Source organism: Homo sapiens, chromosome 4, assembly GCF_000001405.40.
Source record: "Homo sapiens chromosome 4, GRCh38.p14 Primary Assembly".
Taxonomy (NCBI): Eukaryota; Metazoa; Chordata; class Mammalia; order Primates; family Hominidae; genus Homo; species Homo sapiens.
This window is the reverse complement of record NC_000004.12, coordinates 159,334,514-159,350,973: the sequence shown is the minus strand read 5'-3', so window position 1 is coordinate 159,350,973 and position 16,460 is coordinate 159,334,514. Positions and strand designations below refer to the sequence as shown.

At 36.4% G+C, this 16,460-nt stretch overlaps 1 protein-coding gene across 7 annotated transcripts in view, besides 1 other annotated feature; it reads right to left on the bottom strand.

Annotated features, from left to right (window-relative positions):
• The window catches only part of RAPGEF2 (Rap guanine nucleotide exchange factor 2), a 257,095-nt gene that overhangs the window by 9,200 nt on the left and 231,435 nt on the right, over positions 1-16,460 (bottom strand). For all 7 annotated transcript variants that reach the window (NM_001351724.5, NM_001394067.2, NM_001351726.3 and 4 more), the window contains 9 exons: positions 12,506-12,663; positions 11,620-11,860; positions 9,027-9,410; positions 7,784-7,995; positions 7,570-7,693; positions 6,915-6,938; positions 5,645-5,868; positions 3,976-4,185; positions 685-837 (listed from right to left, as the gene is read on the bottom strand). In NM_001351724.5, coding sequence (NP_001338653.1) covers positions 685-837; positions 3,976-4,185; positions 5,645-5,868; positions 6,915-6,938; positions 7,570-7,693; positions 7,784-7,995; positions 9,027-9,410; positions 11,620-11,860; positions 12,506-12,663 — 1,730 coding nt within the window. The remainder of the gene's footprint in view (positions 1-684; positions 838-3,975; positions 4,186-5,644; positions 5,869-6,914; positions 6,939-7,569; positions 7,694-7,783; positions 7,996-9,026; positions 9,411-11,619; positions 11,861-12,505; positions 12,664-16,460) is intronic.
• Positions 9,203-9,497: a silencer, noted in NCBI's record as "tiled region #10828; HepG2 Repressive DNase matched - State 8:EnhW". NCBI's record gives its function as "represses a minimal TATA promoter and a strong SV40 promoter by Sharpr-MPRA in HepG2 cells {active_cell/tissue: HepG2}" and the evidence as "EXISTENCE:reporter gene assay evidence [ECO:0000049][PMID:27701403]".

Below are 16,460 nucleotides of genomic sequence, written 5' to 3'. Positions count from 1 at the left end.
CTGAAATATCTACCAAGTAAAGCAATACCTGTTGAGTCAGTGAAATTTAACAATGTATTAAGCCCTTTTGGCTTTCCTTTAGGGAAAACTACGTCCTAGCCATTTATTATTGGCTTACACTCATTTAGTTAAAAGGGTAGGAGGAGGAAGTAGCCTGAAGAGTTATGCAGCAGAAAATTACCTACTCTTTTAATATGAGAATGTATCAACATAAGGAGGCGACTGAGTACCTAAAATATAGTCTCTAAAAATAAAACAAGGTAGCAACCAAAAAGGTAATCAAGACCTGTGTTAATACAATGAAAAAATAAATCAGGAAGATATTAGTTTTTCATGTTTTCAAAGCCCTCTTCTCTGTACTAATGTCATATAACCAAATTTAGTTAGAACAAATTGTAATATAAAAAATTCTTTGTATATTTATCTGAATTAAAAGTAAATGTATTTTTAAAAGGCTTCTTATAGTTATAAATTTAATACTATTTATTGTAAGTATAACATTTTTTAAAACCACCATTCTTCCAAATTTATAAACTGAGGGAAAAAAAATCCATTGGGCATTGCAAATGAGCTCATCTTAAATGACTATAATGTTAGGAATTATGTAATACATTACTCTGGAATTTATTATAGCCAAAATGTATAGGTTTCAATACAAGAAAACAAAAAGTAATTTAATTCTACCTTTCCTTGGAGAACTCTGTGGAGAAGTAGGAGGAGAAGAAAGCTGCGAAGATGCATTTGATATTGTATCTTCAGCCTGTTTCTTGTGACGTTCCAAACTTCCTTCTTCAGACAAAGAAAGAATTTTTTTTAAAGCTTGTGGAGAGTTTATGCCTATAATGGAAAAAAAAAAACCTTAAATATGTATTTTCAAGTCTGAAAATAAACACCATTTATGAATAAAAAACTTTTTTGTGTTAAGATTTAATATCATTACACTGAGGTTCAACCTATTTACAATCTAAATGTTCTTTGTACTCTTCAAGGTCCACACAGTAAGTGCCTACAGAAGTCATGAGATACCCGTAGTTTGGTTTCAGACTGATATCTGCCACAGTACCAGAAATATATTGCTTTTGATATTTTACGTTAGATTCTAAACTTTGAAGTAGTCACCATCTTTATTCAACAATATGTTAGGCAACAATGAAGAAAAAATGGACAATTTGGAAACACTGAATTTAGGATGGAAGTGGCACAGCTAGACATGTTTATTATTAGAAACCAAATTTGAGTTGGAAACTGTTTTGTATCCTTGGAAAGGGGTAGCTCAAGGGAAGTGAGAATAAAGGGAGAAGAGTACAGAGTCAAGAGCTAAGAGGAGCTAACTAGGAAAGTGAATGAAAGCGCTCTAAGGAATTCCATGCAGTTAATACTTGATCAAGTAAACAGATGAAAGAGAAGGGCGGAAGAGACCATGAAAGTGCTGTGTCACAAAACCTTGGAGGAAGGTTTCAGAAGAAGGAAGTGAGCCAGCACCACGTGCAGGATCCAACAGGATGAGAGTGGAGGAAAAATTATTCTACATGTCAATGTAAGATGATTTCCCTCCTCAAAATTATTTTTCATAAATGAGGAAGTTACACTGAAATATTTTACAAAGCCTCTCATATTATTATGAGGCACTCTCAATTTTATTTTGAACAACAAAGAGATATTTGGGAAGGCACTACAGCCTGAAACTACCTCAAATTAGTGTTAGTAAAATTTAACAAAGATTTAATCCTTCATTTCACTTCATGTAAGCAGTCTGATATTGTTTTAATACAATCTTTTTTAAAAAAACCTTTTAAAGCAATAGTTTGATTACATGTAGAAATCATATACACAGGAAATAAAGCTAATTGAATGGGTAGTTTTGATCTGGAAAAAATTTCCAAGGCCAGCATCATACACAGATTTAAAAAGTACTACCTTTCAAACCATGTTGGATGGATGTGAAGATATTATGCCTGAGAAAGCTGTGTGAGATACTTCAAAAGTGGTGCTAGTGATGACAAAGACACCAATGTTAAAGATGTAGAAAGTATATAGAACAAAACTATTTTATGGACTGGAGTGGGGGGAACACCTGTAGTGTCTCTAAATTAGTATTTTATATACTGTGACTTTAAATGTGTATGTTAAACTAAATAAATATAAGACAACATATAATATTTCATCCACATTTCTAAAGTTCATAAATGGAACTAAAGACATTTTGAGAGCTATGGCTTCAGAAACATGGGGGATAGAGCTTTATACTCAGAGACATCTACATTATATTAAATATGGCTAATAGGCATTTTTAGCTAAAGTGAAGACTGATAATCTTCCATATGAGAAGTTCTGCATAAAGACGATACAGACTGCAGGGGATTCAGGAATGCATGCATATTCAAAACGTAATATATAAAGAAACACATAATTCAATGTGTTTGTGATGAGAGGATCAACACAAATATTTGAAAGGAGAAATGTACCTAGGAAAGGTGTTCTTTTCTTATTCTCTCCCCATATCAATAAAGAGGACACTTGCTGATCAGATGGAATGAGGTGAGGATACAGAGTACGTGAGGGGTCTACGAAATGACTCTCACCCAAGCCATACAGATGGGCTGTAACTGTGCAGGGACTTAGTTATCAACACCCAATTTTATCTAAGTAAACTCTTTGCTATCTATCTCTCTATATCTTTATCTATCTATCCATCCATCCATCCATCCATCCATCCATCCATCCATCCATCTATCTATCTATCTATCTATCTATCGACAGAGTCTTGCTCTGTCGCCCAGGCTGGAGTGCAGTGATGCAATCCCGGCTTATTACAATTTCCACCCCCCAGGTTGAAGCGATTCTTGTGCCTCAGCTTCCCAGGTAGCTAGGACTGCAGGCATGCGCCATCACGCCAGGCTAAGTTTTGTATTTTTCGTAAAGATGGGGTTTCCCCATGTTGGGCAAGCTGGTCTCCAACTCCTGGCCTCGAGTGATTCACCCGTCTCAGCCTCCTGAAGTGCTGGGATTACAGGCATGAGACACTGCACCCAGCCTACTATCCCTTTATTTTTAATAATTTGTTTTTTATTAACTGTTTCATTCACATATACGTAGAAAAAAAAGAAGGTGTACATTTTATGAAAAATTATTGTGTTGTACCACTTCCACAAAGGGGCTAAACTACTAGATGTTCTTCTTTTTCTTTTTGAGACAGTCTCGCTCTTTCGCCCAGGCTGGAGGAGTGCAGCGGTGCGATCTAGGCTCACTGCAAGCTCCCCCTCCCGGGTTCACGCCATTCTCCTGCCTCGGCCTCCCGAGTAGCTGGGACTACAGGCGCCCGCCACCACGCCCGGCTAATTTTTTCTATTTTTAGTAGAGACAGGGTTTCACCGTGTTAGCCAGGATGGTCTGGATCTCCTGACCTCGTGATCTGCCCGCCTCAGCCTCCCAAAGTGCTGGGATTACAGGCGTGAGCCACCGTGCCTGGCTGATGTTTTTCTTTTAGTAGGAAAGATGAAGTGTAATTTAGCTCCTTCATATTCAGGAGTTAGTTGTTTTATTTTTCCCTCTAAGTTATAGAATCAGTGAGTCAACAAATAAGAATTTACCTTCAGACAATTCATTTAACTTAAAAATATTCTGCTTAAATCCCAGCAGTTTGTTGGTTGTAAAGCAAAACCAGTTTAAATAATGTAAATGAACAAAGCATCTTCTGCGCTTAGCAAAAATTAAATTAATAGACACATAACTTCTCTATTAACACCCTGTCGTAGCAAATTAGCATGACTAAACGAGATATTACTTATAAAAACAACCCCTTCCATTGGCAAAGTCAGGTTTAACTTGCTGAGTGTTCATGTTTTATTAGGAGCTAATAATTACAGAGAAACTCAAATATATTAGACAAAGTTATCCAAGACAAATATTTTTTTCCTAATTTGCAAACCATGACAGTGAATGGCACCAAAAAAAGAAATGAATGTAATCACTTACCAAAAGGTGGGAGATCCTTTACGGGCACTTTCTTCCGTGAAGGATAAAGGGACACGGCGGGAACCTGTAGTCCCTGGTTGATTTTATGTGCTGGTGGTGGCTGCTGCTGGGGCTGTGGCAGGGACTGAGCTTTCTGTTGTGACCCTGCCCTTGGAGCTACTGGAGAGGTCTCGGATTTGACAGGCTTTTTGTCACCAGGATTCTTAGGCACTGATAATTGTTTGGGTTTGAAAATAGAACAAAGAATTTTAGATGCTAGTAGGTATGTAGAAGATAATTCTAGAACTGTGTGAGCATTTTCTGCAGTTAGAATACTAAATTAATGCACACCTTTCTTCCTGTTGCCTTTATGAAGCACAGAAAATGGATGGGGGACCCTAGTTACAGAAAATATTAGATATGTGGCAGGACAAAGGTATCTACTTTATGAAGTCAGCAATCTCAAAAGATGATTGTACTATTAAACACCCCATTAAAAATATAGAAAAATGTGGGTAGTTCAATATGTTATATCCATGTATATGAAAGAAACAAATACGTGATAAAAGCTACAACAGAAAAGTCATCAGGCACTATTTTTCTAAAACGGTGTCCCAAATTGTTTGACATGTATGTGCTAAGTTTTTATTTAATAAATGCTGTCAACTGCAATCTATTTACTACCATATTCCTAGGAGGTAGAATTATCTATGCAAGCAAACAGTAGCCAATAATGCTTCAGTATCATACTGAGTATATATTTTGTGGTAGATAAATGGCAAAGCAATTTAGGACAATAAAATGTTGTATATGTAGCATTTTAATATTAAAAACTCAATGACATATGTATGCTTCCTCCCTTTTACACGCCTGGAAACTAAGGATTAGGGAGGTCAAGTAAGTTGCCTAAGGCTGCAGCTAGTAAGAGGAGACAAACAGGATTTGAACTCAGACCACTCTGACTCCAGAGGACAAGCTCTTCACCATGACACAGTGCTTCTACAGCATCCTGGGTAAATCTAATAATCCAAATCTTCTCAAATCACCTATCTAAATTAAATCCTACAGAAGACATCTTCAAACCTGCCCATAAAAGACACAGGTGTGTACTGAATGGAAAATGCCTTTGTCTTTTAAGTCAAGATGCAGATTTAGAAAAAAAAAAAAACTGCCCCATTTATAGATTAACCAGATTTTTAAAGGCTATTGTGGTTCACTGTGGAGCAGAATCATTGCTCTAACTAACTGGTAGCTGAATTTGTTGTTCGGTGTTGTCTGGGCTAGTGGTTAAAAGGCAGCCAGCACACCCAATTTTATGCCCTGACTCCCCTCAGGTTGCCCATACTTTGGGGGTAGCTTTGTGAGAACGTAAGACATGTAAATGGGAGCCATATCTATATATGCGTCTGTTGCATGTGTACTGGTTGTGTCCAGGTGAAACTAAAGTAATGGGTTGCCTTAGATGTGGACAGTGTCATCTTCCACATACTAACCCAGTTGACATGACGGCCTGGCCGTGCACAGTGCTACCCAGTATTAAATATTAGCATTCAAGGAAAAGACTAGTATATCTCAGGATTGCTAGCTCCCCCTCTGCACTAAGCCTTATTTTGTCACTGCCCATACCACTGCACAGGAAACAAATCTGCATCCTAGCCAAAGTCTGCAGCCACTTTAAGGAAAAACTCACATGTGTTGGTTGCTGGCTCACACTGCAGAGATAATGTCTGAAGACTCTCCTCGTCCATTTCTAGCTCCAAATTGGAAAGGTACTGCTTCACTTTTCGAGCCATTTGGGCATCTTCATAAAGCTTTTTGGCATTGAGAAAGGAACTACGACGTACCCGCTTTTTATGACCACCTGTCTGAGCAACATCTAGCACTGTTGCATTTGTACTACCCTGGCTGAGAGACCTGGAAGATGAAAAGGTACATATGCAGCTCACTCTAGCATGGGAGTACTTTATCTATTTAAAATGTGCCAAGACTGATATTAATAGTCTATGTTCAAAAGGTCACATGCCTCATTCCAGTGAGTAAACTGTTACACAGGAATATAGAATAATACAGATTTTAAAAATTTAAAGAAAATTACACATAATATACATATAAAAATTTATGTTTGGCACCTGTTCAGTTCCAACTAGGAAATTCTACTTTTCACTCTATAGAGCATTTAAGGCAGTTCTCTCACAGGTGCCAGAAAACAATAATTACATGTAAAAGCTCATGCAAGAATACACAGCTATAATCATTAAGATTTGCAACATTAAAATTACTTCTCCTAAAGAGGATATTATACATAAATTTAAATAAAATTAGCTACAATGTTCAAAATTGTCTTCTTATGCCTTGAGTTGAATGTGGTGAGTTTTTAAAGTAATACGGTCAATCTGTTAATAAAACAATCATGCAAATGTAAACATATATGTATGGAAACCATTGAGCACATGAATTGTTAAGAATTATTTTTAAAAAGGATTGGTTTATACAGAATGAAAATAGTAGTTAGTTGAGCTGTAAAAAATTTGGGTTTAACACCTGGGGGCACCTATTTTATATTAAATATATTTATTTCTCACATATCTGTGAAATATTTTAATTGCACAACTTTTCCCTTCTAATATCCTTCCTCCCCTCCCCCTACTTTGAGCTTTCTGCATTTCGAGACACACCAATTATATGAAAATAAAATTTTTCTAAGAGCTCAGAAAAACTGGCCTGTAGTTCCCCAGAACAATCATCAATCATTTCACAGCTCTCATGGATCATGACTTCAAAAGCAAAAGCCCCAACAGATTAAACTTGAAGTCAATTTGCCATCTGAAATTCTGCTACAGCACGAGGGTTAAGGAAAAAAATGCAAAAATGCAAAGCATCAGAAAATACAGCAGGTAAGAAAACAATGCAATGAGCAGAATAAGAACTGTGTGTGGGTATGCAAGGTCTCCACCACTTACCCCAAACTCCGCCATTTCTTCTTCCTGTAAGTGAGAGCCATGGAGATTGAAGCATGGGTGTAGAAAGAGAGACAGAAAGATCACAAGCTCAGAAAGAAAGGACTAGACTTCTGGATAAGCAGTTCTAGAAGCCCACAAACATTAAACTGCATAATCACCTCACACACGCAACTTTACTAGAAATATTTTTCTGGCTTAAAAGACACATACATTTAAATTTTTTGTTCTAGAATTAAGACTGACTTTTCTCTCTTTCACTGAATTAATCACTTTTTACTACACTGCTAGCTAAATTTGTTGTGTGGATATTGAGACAAGACTATTTGGGGTATTTACATATTTTAGTGCATACTACTAGCTATGAGTTTTAGCTCTACAAGTCAGTGTTCTGAGAAATAAGAAACACATAATTGTGTCTATTACATTGAAAATGTCTGAAAGACAAACTGTTTTTACTGACAGCCGAAAGAACACTTTATACAGAATAAGACATTTATTCCAAATTAGAGCTCACAGGTGATTCTCAGCACATCCTACTATAATTTCTGCCGTACTACAAATATAAATACTCAAACTTTAAAAAAATCATTTATTGGGAAGCTCTAAATTTAACCTTCTCTACTCTCACACGTGCCACTGAAGATGACATACTCACCGAGTCCTGAACATGAGGGCAGGGTCCATGTTCACTGAAGCCATTCGGCCAACGTGACGAATTTCTTTTGCAATCATCCTTAGCTTCTCAAAATTGACCAGCCCGTCTACTTTTGAGTCATTTCCTGAAATTGACAGAGGAGGAAAAGGAAATCACATGGCATTTATTCTGTGCTTCTTCAAGCAAAGATGGAAACCCTCTGCCTTATGTTTACCTTCGTGAAGGAAGGTGAGATCCTTTTTGATAACTGGGAATAGAGGGATTATGGGAGGTTGTAGATTTTGACTATTGAGAACATTACGATATTTTGCCATGTTTCTGGAAGGATCAAACAGGTCTTGGAGATCTTGAAATAGTTTTTCGTATTTATTGGGAAGTTTCTCCCAGGTCGTTCGCAGTCTTGCCACTGGTGCCAGGTTTAGGCCACTGAGAGGAGAAAAAGAAACATGGTATAACAACTAAAGTAAAATAGTGTACAGATTATTTATTGACATATAACATCTCTATGTTTATGCTTTATATGCATAACAATTTACAGAAGGCTGCATAAGAAACTGTTCATGATAATTCTGGGGAATGAGATGGCACAGGGAAGTAGGGTCAGGGTCAAGCCAAGGCGTTTTACTCTTCTCTTCCGTATAGACCTACCTCATCTGTTTACTATCAGTAAAACCACCTGAATGTAAGTATTGATGCTTTGTTTCCATACACAGCAGTATGTACACATAGCAGTGCTTAGCCCATAGCGGCCATTTGATAAAACCGACTGAGCAAATATCCTCTAGTAATAAAATAAAATAAAATAAAATAAAATAAAATAAAATAAAATAAAATAAAATAAAATAAAATAATATAAAATAAAATAAAATAAAATAAAAGCTATGATAGTAATGAGAGTATGACTAAACTCCCAGACAGAGAAAATGACTAATTTAATAATCACCCTCAACATCAATATAACTAATTGTTGCCATTTTTTTTTCTTCTAACCTCAATCTAAGCTCTTAAAAAAAGGGAAGAAAATTAACATTTCCCGGCCATCTGCTTTGTGCTATTTGATGGAACTCCACACACATTACATCATTAATCTTGTTGATAACTCTTTGCGGTATTGTTATTTCCACAGAAAAATAAACTGATATTGAGAAAAGTTGAAACAAACTTAAAAAAAAAGTGGGGGATATAGATTTTCTGAGCTCCAAATCAGAACTTCAGATGCTACCAAAATGTTTCCTGCTTAATGGCTTCTTCAAATCTCTTCAGGTTGGCACAGCTGTTTTTTTGATACGAGAGATTTTAAATTAAGGATTAAGGTTAGGATTCAGAGAAAAAGAATTGTCTCTTATGAGTCAATTAAAACCTATAGCATTTATACTAATTATATGATGTTCCTGGACTGATACATATTTTAAATCTGTGAACTGAACTGAATCTTAAGAAAAAATGTGCTCTCTTACCTGATGATTGCAAACATTGAGTTAAAATTCTTGCATTCCCTACAGTGCAGTGCTATCTTGATGAAATGCTTAATGATCTTCATCCTCTTCAGCTGGTTTGTTTCTCTGAGAATTTCAGATGCTACCCAAAATGTTTCCTGGTTAATGACTTCTTCAAATCTCTTCAGGTTGGCACAGCTGGTTTTTGATCTGAGTTTAAATAAATCATCTATATATTCAGTAGGTTCAATGTTGCGAAAGAGTTCAAAATTTCGCATAGAGAGCTGTGTTGCAACTTCCACAGTGCTGAGCTGAAGGAGGGAAATTTGACTCTCTCTCAACAACTCCTGAGCATCTTCATCTGAACAAAGAGTTTCTGTTTCCATGTTGTTTTTCAGATAATACCTATGAAAAACAGAAACATATCAGAGTCAAAGCCTAAGCAGCAATCTCATGATATTCCTTGAAAGAATAATGCTACTTTTTATGGAAAGTTTGAGAGAGCACTGATTTGAATTATGGAAGATTTCTTTTTAACCAAGACAGACAGCACAGCTGCTATCTCAGTTACCTGGTCATAGAACTGTCTATCCAGAAGTAGGTGGTAGAAACAAACAAATCACATGGAATTTCACTCGCACTAGTTGCACTTTCTATCCTTTCTTTTCCTGATTTCTGAAGTATTTTACCCTTTTTGTTAAAAATAACAGAAAATATCCACATTTTTAGTTTAAAAAGGGACTAGGCCCTAAGGCAGGAAGCAGGAAAGATTAGACCCAAGTACGTCATCACTCTTATTTTCCTTATTTTCTTATTTTCTTATCAATAATCTGTGATTATTGATGGGCCCAAATTGTAACAATCCAGGTTGACTTATTTATTCAAATACCTAAGAAACCCTAAGCTACTTCCCTCTATTTGATCCTATGAATAGAACAATCCTCCAACAGGTTAACTTTAAAAAATCTGGATTTTCATAAAAACTCTACAGGTAAGTGGATAGTAGGTATTATACTTATTTGTCAGAATAGGAAACAGGCTCCTAAAGGTTGACTAGTTAATGCCGGTGCCAAAATGGGAACACAGGGCTGGAGCCCCTTTTCCTTTTAGGCAATTTGTTGAAAATAGCATTAAGATGTTTGTTGCACGCACACGTGTGTGTGTGTGTGTGTGTGTGTGTGTGTGTGTGGTGATGGTGGTGGTATTTTTTGTTTTGTTTTTGTTTTTTAGACACATGCTTTCTCTGTGAAAATTCCATAAATGTGTGTGTGTGTGTGTGTGTGTGTGTGTGTGTGTGTGTGGTGATGGTGGTGGTATTTTTTGTTTTGTTTTTGTTTTTTAGACACATGCTTTCTCTGTGAAAATTCCATAAATGACAAAACAGAATGAGCATAGTAGGGGCCCTACTAAAATTTTTTTTGTGTATTTCACCAAGGCAAACACATATAACAGAAAATATATACTTTGCGCCCTTGACTTTCACAGATTTAACATTCTCCATTTTGATTACTCATGAAGCCCATGACATACCCATCTATAATTTTCTTCAATAATGAATGTGAATCATGAATCTATAGCTCAGTGGAGCTCTGTAAAACTCTATCGTGGTTCCAGATATATCAATGTGCATTGAAATGATAAGTGGAAAAAACAGAGCTACTAAAACAAAACTATTTGCTAGTGTTTGAAAACAAAAGTGAAGAGGAATAAGAAAGTTATAGTTGATGGCAAGAAAATCAAAGGTTTCAATGAATTATATCCTGGTTTAAATCTATAACATGAAAAAGTCAAATACAGTGAAACACTCCGTAAGTTAAAAATAGAAAAAATATGATTTATGGAACTACTTAATTTTGAGTGTAGCAACCAGCCACTATGAGAACCAAAGCAACTATTTTCTTTTTCAACTTGCACTTACTTATTGTGACTTGAAGATAAAGTTACATATACCTAACAGTGAAAATATCATTGAAGAGAATGATAAAATCAGACACAACATTTTCTTGCAAGTAACGTGTGATATAAGCACTTCTGCAGCAAAGGACTAAGCTCTGTAGCAAGTAAAGTCTGGTTTCAGCGTTAAGAAGTGTATTTCATAGCATAATGTACAATAACAGGCAGAAGTGGCCAACCACATTGTCACAGATGTCTCTGCCTAAACTAAGGAAGCTCCTAGAAAAGTTGGGTATGCAGGAGCAAATGACACTAGAATATGATTAGAAAATGTGTTTGTGAACGTACATATACAAAGGGAAGACAGCACCAGGGTTTAACCCCGTGACTTTACATCAAGCATACTCTACCCTTCCAAACCAGGACCCCAAGGCAAGCATGAGAAGTTACAGCACGCATTTTGGAAGTCAGTAACAACCTTCAGGTCACAGTGGCCTTGAACAAGTTCCTAAGAGATCCTTGTTAGGGTCAGTAGTCGACTGTGTGCATTTGCTTTCATACAGTAATTCTTGGTGAAAGGAAAAAAAAAACAACAACAATACTTTTTAATCGCAGGGACACTTACTCATTTAAAAAACACTTTGAAAATTGCTCATCTCTTAGACTTTGATGTGGGTTCGAAGAGGGGACAAAGAAATCCAGTAAGGTAGATAATATATACCTTCCACTCAGTTGTATTCTGTCTGCAAGTTTGGAAAGCTGATCTGGAAGTCTTCTTTGTTTGATTACTCCCTCAGGTGTGACAGAGACCTCACATAGTGAATATTGATCCGGGGTGGCAGTAACAGCAAACTCCCTGATAGCCTGAATGACCACTTCCTTTGCTGTAGTGTCCTTACTGATCATGATGTAGCGGCTTTGCTGATCAGCCTTAAAAACCCTTAGCACTTGATCTGGCAAGTCTGGGGGAAAGAAAAATCACACACATAAGTAGAAAGAATTTTAATATATGGCAATGCAATTAAGCAAAGTAATCAGAAAAAAGCTCCTTAAGAAAAAGCAATGCTGAACTTTTACCTCTCCCTTACTCTAGGTCTTCCTCAAAGAATCAATCTACATGCTGTTTTGCTGCAAGAACATACCTTTCCCTAAAAGATAACAGATTGAACTACAGACAGCTGCAAGCACATCAGTACACAACAGTAGCACTCAAGACTGTCATGCTGGCATCAAAGAAATAAAATTTAAATCCAGAGTTAATCTTTACTGTATTGAAAAGTCCATTAATTAGACCTAAAATATGCCTCTTACTCTATCTATTTGATATGATTTAGTAATCATGGCATGGGATGTGTTATCTTCATTTTATGAAAGAAGAAACAAGTTCAGACAGATAATTTGCCTATGGCCATATAAAAATACTCTGCTGAATGTAAAGAGAACTGGTTCCAACACCTGATTTCAAAAATCTTAAAGTTTAAGTTTCATCCTTACTCAGCATCTGATATAATCCATGCCAAATGAAGAGAGATACATATAATATGACCATTATGTTAGAAATAAAAAGATAACTATAAGAAAACAAAAGAAGTGTTGGTGATACTCACCAGGAGTAGCACTGAAGTCTAAAATGCGATGATGTGACTGCAATAAATCAGGATTACTGGATGATAAGGTTCCACTGACAGGCAATGCAGTTGGGATGTGCTTTGTCTGCCTTAATCCTACTATGCTGTCATCTTGAGACTGACCAATCCCAATATCACTGAACAAAGAGGAAAATTAGAAAATTATCAACAAGTTAAAAAGTTGTACATCATCACTATATAATAAACACAGACCAAAAACCATATTCCATTTTTTTTTTGCAGCTCATGTAAAAACACCATTAATAAATTTGGTTGAAAACTGCAAAAGCAACTACTGCTTAAGTGTATCCAACTCATTTTCCTGTTTTTGTTTTTTGTTTTTGTTTGTTTGTTTTTAGATATAGCATCTTGCTTTGTTGCTCAAGCTGGGCTTGAAACTCTTGGCCTCAAGTGATCCTCCTGCTGTGGCCTCCCAAAGTGCTAGGATTACAGGCATGAGTCACAGCACCCAGCCTCATTTTGCTGTTTCTTAAGTGTATAGTATGTTTCTCTAAAACCTATGGTTTTTCTTTCTTTTTTTTTTTTTTTTTTTTTTTTGAGATGGAGTCTCACTCTGTCACCCAGGCTGGAGTGCAGTGGTGTGATCTCGGCTCACTGCAAGCTCCATCTCCCAGGTTCATGCCATTCTCCTGCCTCAGCCTCCTGAGTAGCTGGGACTACAGGCGTCCGCCACCATGCCCGGCTAATTTTTTTGTATTTTGAGTAGAGATGGGGTTTCACCATGTTAGCCAGGATGGTCTCGATCTCCTGACCTTGTGATCCGCCTGTCTTGGCCTCCCAAAGTGCTAGGATTACAGGCGTGAGCCACCACGCCCGGCCAAACCTATGGTTTTTCTAAGTAGATAAGCCATAAAAAATATTAGTAGTTTCTCAGCACAGAAATATATTTAAAAAAAAATAAGCTCTAGTTTCTGATGGAAATGGATTTTAAAAAAAGCACATTAAAAAGAATACATTTAACTCACTCAACTGATAGTTCTGCATCAGAATGATAAATTATTTTATAATCTGACCTTCAATAGTTGAAGAAATTGGGTAAAATGAAAACAGGAGGAAAAAAATCCAAAGTGTCCTAATTTTATTCTCGATGTTTTAGAGAAAAAATGAGATCACTATGGAGTCAAATGTAAGGAGACTGACACAGACATTATTTCTTGATTATACAGAGCATAAAAAAACAGTGGTGCATGGTGACATTTCCTAGCATCAAAGAAAAGCCAACAGAAATCCAATGACTCACTTTTAATTCTCTGATCAAAATTTCTAGCTACACATTTAAGTATCCAGAGAAATACTGGTTATTATCGACAGTGACAAACTCATTTCCATTTATAAAAAGCCTGTTACTGTGAACTCTTGAAACATGATTTAATAATATGTAAAAACTATTTCTAGATTTGAAGGGTCAACTGTTTCCAAAACAAAAACTCAAATAAAGCAATAAGCAAACACACACAGAAATAACTGGGGTCGCAAGAAAATGGTTATAGCTCAGACTAGTTTCTATACACACCTTGAAATAAGAGGAAAATTATATTAAAGTTGGAATATAAACTAAGGTGTCATAAATAAAATGAAGAAATTTAGCATTTATTAGTCTTTTCACACATTGGGGCTTGATCATAATAACTACTATTTTTAATGACTATGCTAAAAAATAGCAACATTTCTTCCCTTTACTTTTTTTTTTGAAAATGGAAATTATAAAGGTAAATAAGGGCAAAAACATTTTTTAAAGACAAAAATTAAAACTAGAGACAATTTCACATTATACGAAAAAGACACTTGCACACGTTTTGTTTAGAGCAGCACAATTCACAACTGCAAAAACATGGAAGCAACCTAAGTGCACATCGACTAATGAGTGGATAAAGAAAATGTGTTTATAGCTACACCACAGAATATTACTCAGCCATAAAAAGGAACAAAATAATGTCTTTTGCAGCAACTTGGATGGAGCTGTTGGTCATTATTCTAAGTGATATAATGGTGGAAAACCAAAATCCCTATGTTCTCACTTATAAGTGGGAGCTAAGCTATGAGTAGGCAAAGGCATACTGAGTGATACAATGGACTTTGGAGACTCAGAAGGGGAAGGGTGAGGTTAGGGCCAGGGATTAAACAAAGTTACACATTAGGTACAATGTATACTACTTGGGTGATGGGTGCACTAAAATCCCAGAATTCACCACCACTATATAATTCACCCATGTAACAAAAAACCACGTGTACCCCAAAAGCTACTGAAATAAAAATTAAAAAAAAAAAATAAAGACAATTTCAGTGTGAATTATTTCAAATTCATAGGTCAGTCCGGGACAAAATTAAATTTCTATTTAATCATATAACCGGCATAAAGACTAAAAGTGTTAATATTCTGTAAAAGATGAAAACTTTTACGTTAGTGGAATTTTATTTTTCAACCATATAAAGCAGTCTCTGCCAAAAACCTGCTATGTAATACATGACACGAGATCATTACTATGGGCTCAGGACAAAGCATAGCTGGCTTGGCCACTCCGGCACAAAAGGCTACAAATATTAGCATCTTGCAGGCACACTCAACCTTTTTTTTTTTTTTTTTTTTTTTTGAGACGGAGTCTCCCTCTGTCACCCAGGCTGTAATGCAGTGGCACAATCTCGGCTCACTGCAAGCTCCGCCTCCCGGGTTCACGCCATTCTCCTGCCTCAGCCTCTCCGAGTAGCTGGGACTACAGACGTCCGCCACCATGCCCGGCTAATGTTTTGTATTTTTAGTAGAGACGGGGTTTCACCGTGGTCTCGATCTCCTGACCTCGTGATCCGACCGCCTCGGCCTCCCAAAGTGCTGGGATTACAAGCGTGAGCCACCGCGCACTCAACCTTTAAGAACCGTTTCTCCGCAACACTTTAACACCTTACATGATGAACTGCCTTTCTACTCTCAGTTTCCTCATTACTCACCTACATCTCTGTCATCCAGACATGCGGCCACTCTTGGATTGAAACTATTTTATATCCAAGACCTAATTCAGAAATGTCCCTCTCTGGGCACATCCTCTTAGGATTCTACCTCTCCAACACTTTCCTTGTTACTGAAATTGTCTTTCGATCTGCACTGGTTTTATAGTGTGCTGACTTACTCCTTCTTGTCTCTGGGTTCATTAGTCTTTTTCTACTTACTTGGCAACCAAATCTGAATTCTGGGAGCTCATGCCCCATCTTCTCCTTCCTCTCTATGCACATCACCCGATTGTGCCTACCTTGCCAATTTACCATTATCTAGCATCTTAGCTTCTCTAAGGCTGATAAAGTTTGAGGAAAAAACTCAACAGTATACTCTATCTAGACTTCTCTAATTGCTAGTTTAGTAGCTTTGTCAAAAAAAAAATCTTCATACACAAATGATAATTTATAGAAAAATTTAATAGCTAGTATAGTATAAATCAAGTCTGTTACCAATATGATAGATCCTACAGCTTTGTGAAACTTCCTTTAATTATTTTTTCTTTTCAATTGCATTACACATATGATTTCAAATAATTTTCATGATAAATCTTTAAATGAGCCATATATTTTCCTAAATACAAATTATTTAAGATGTTTCCTCAGTGTTTTAAAATCAACACATCTAATCATTCTTTTTCTTTTCCCTTGTCTAGCTTTTGAGTATTTCTAAATACACATAGAACAAAATTAGACATGGTATTCTCATATTGTGTTCCTTTCCAACATCCAGTATTGCTGATGGATTATCTCCCAGTTCTTACATGTCACATTTCTATTTATACTTGCCAAGGTCATATGAACTTTTTTTTAAAGGTTCTTATTTAACTCATGGTCAAATATGACTCTAAGATCTTTTTTTGTTATTGTGCTGTTAATAATTCTGCATTTAGGACTGGGTGTGGTGGCTCATGCCTGTAATCCCAGC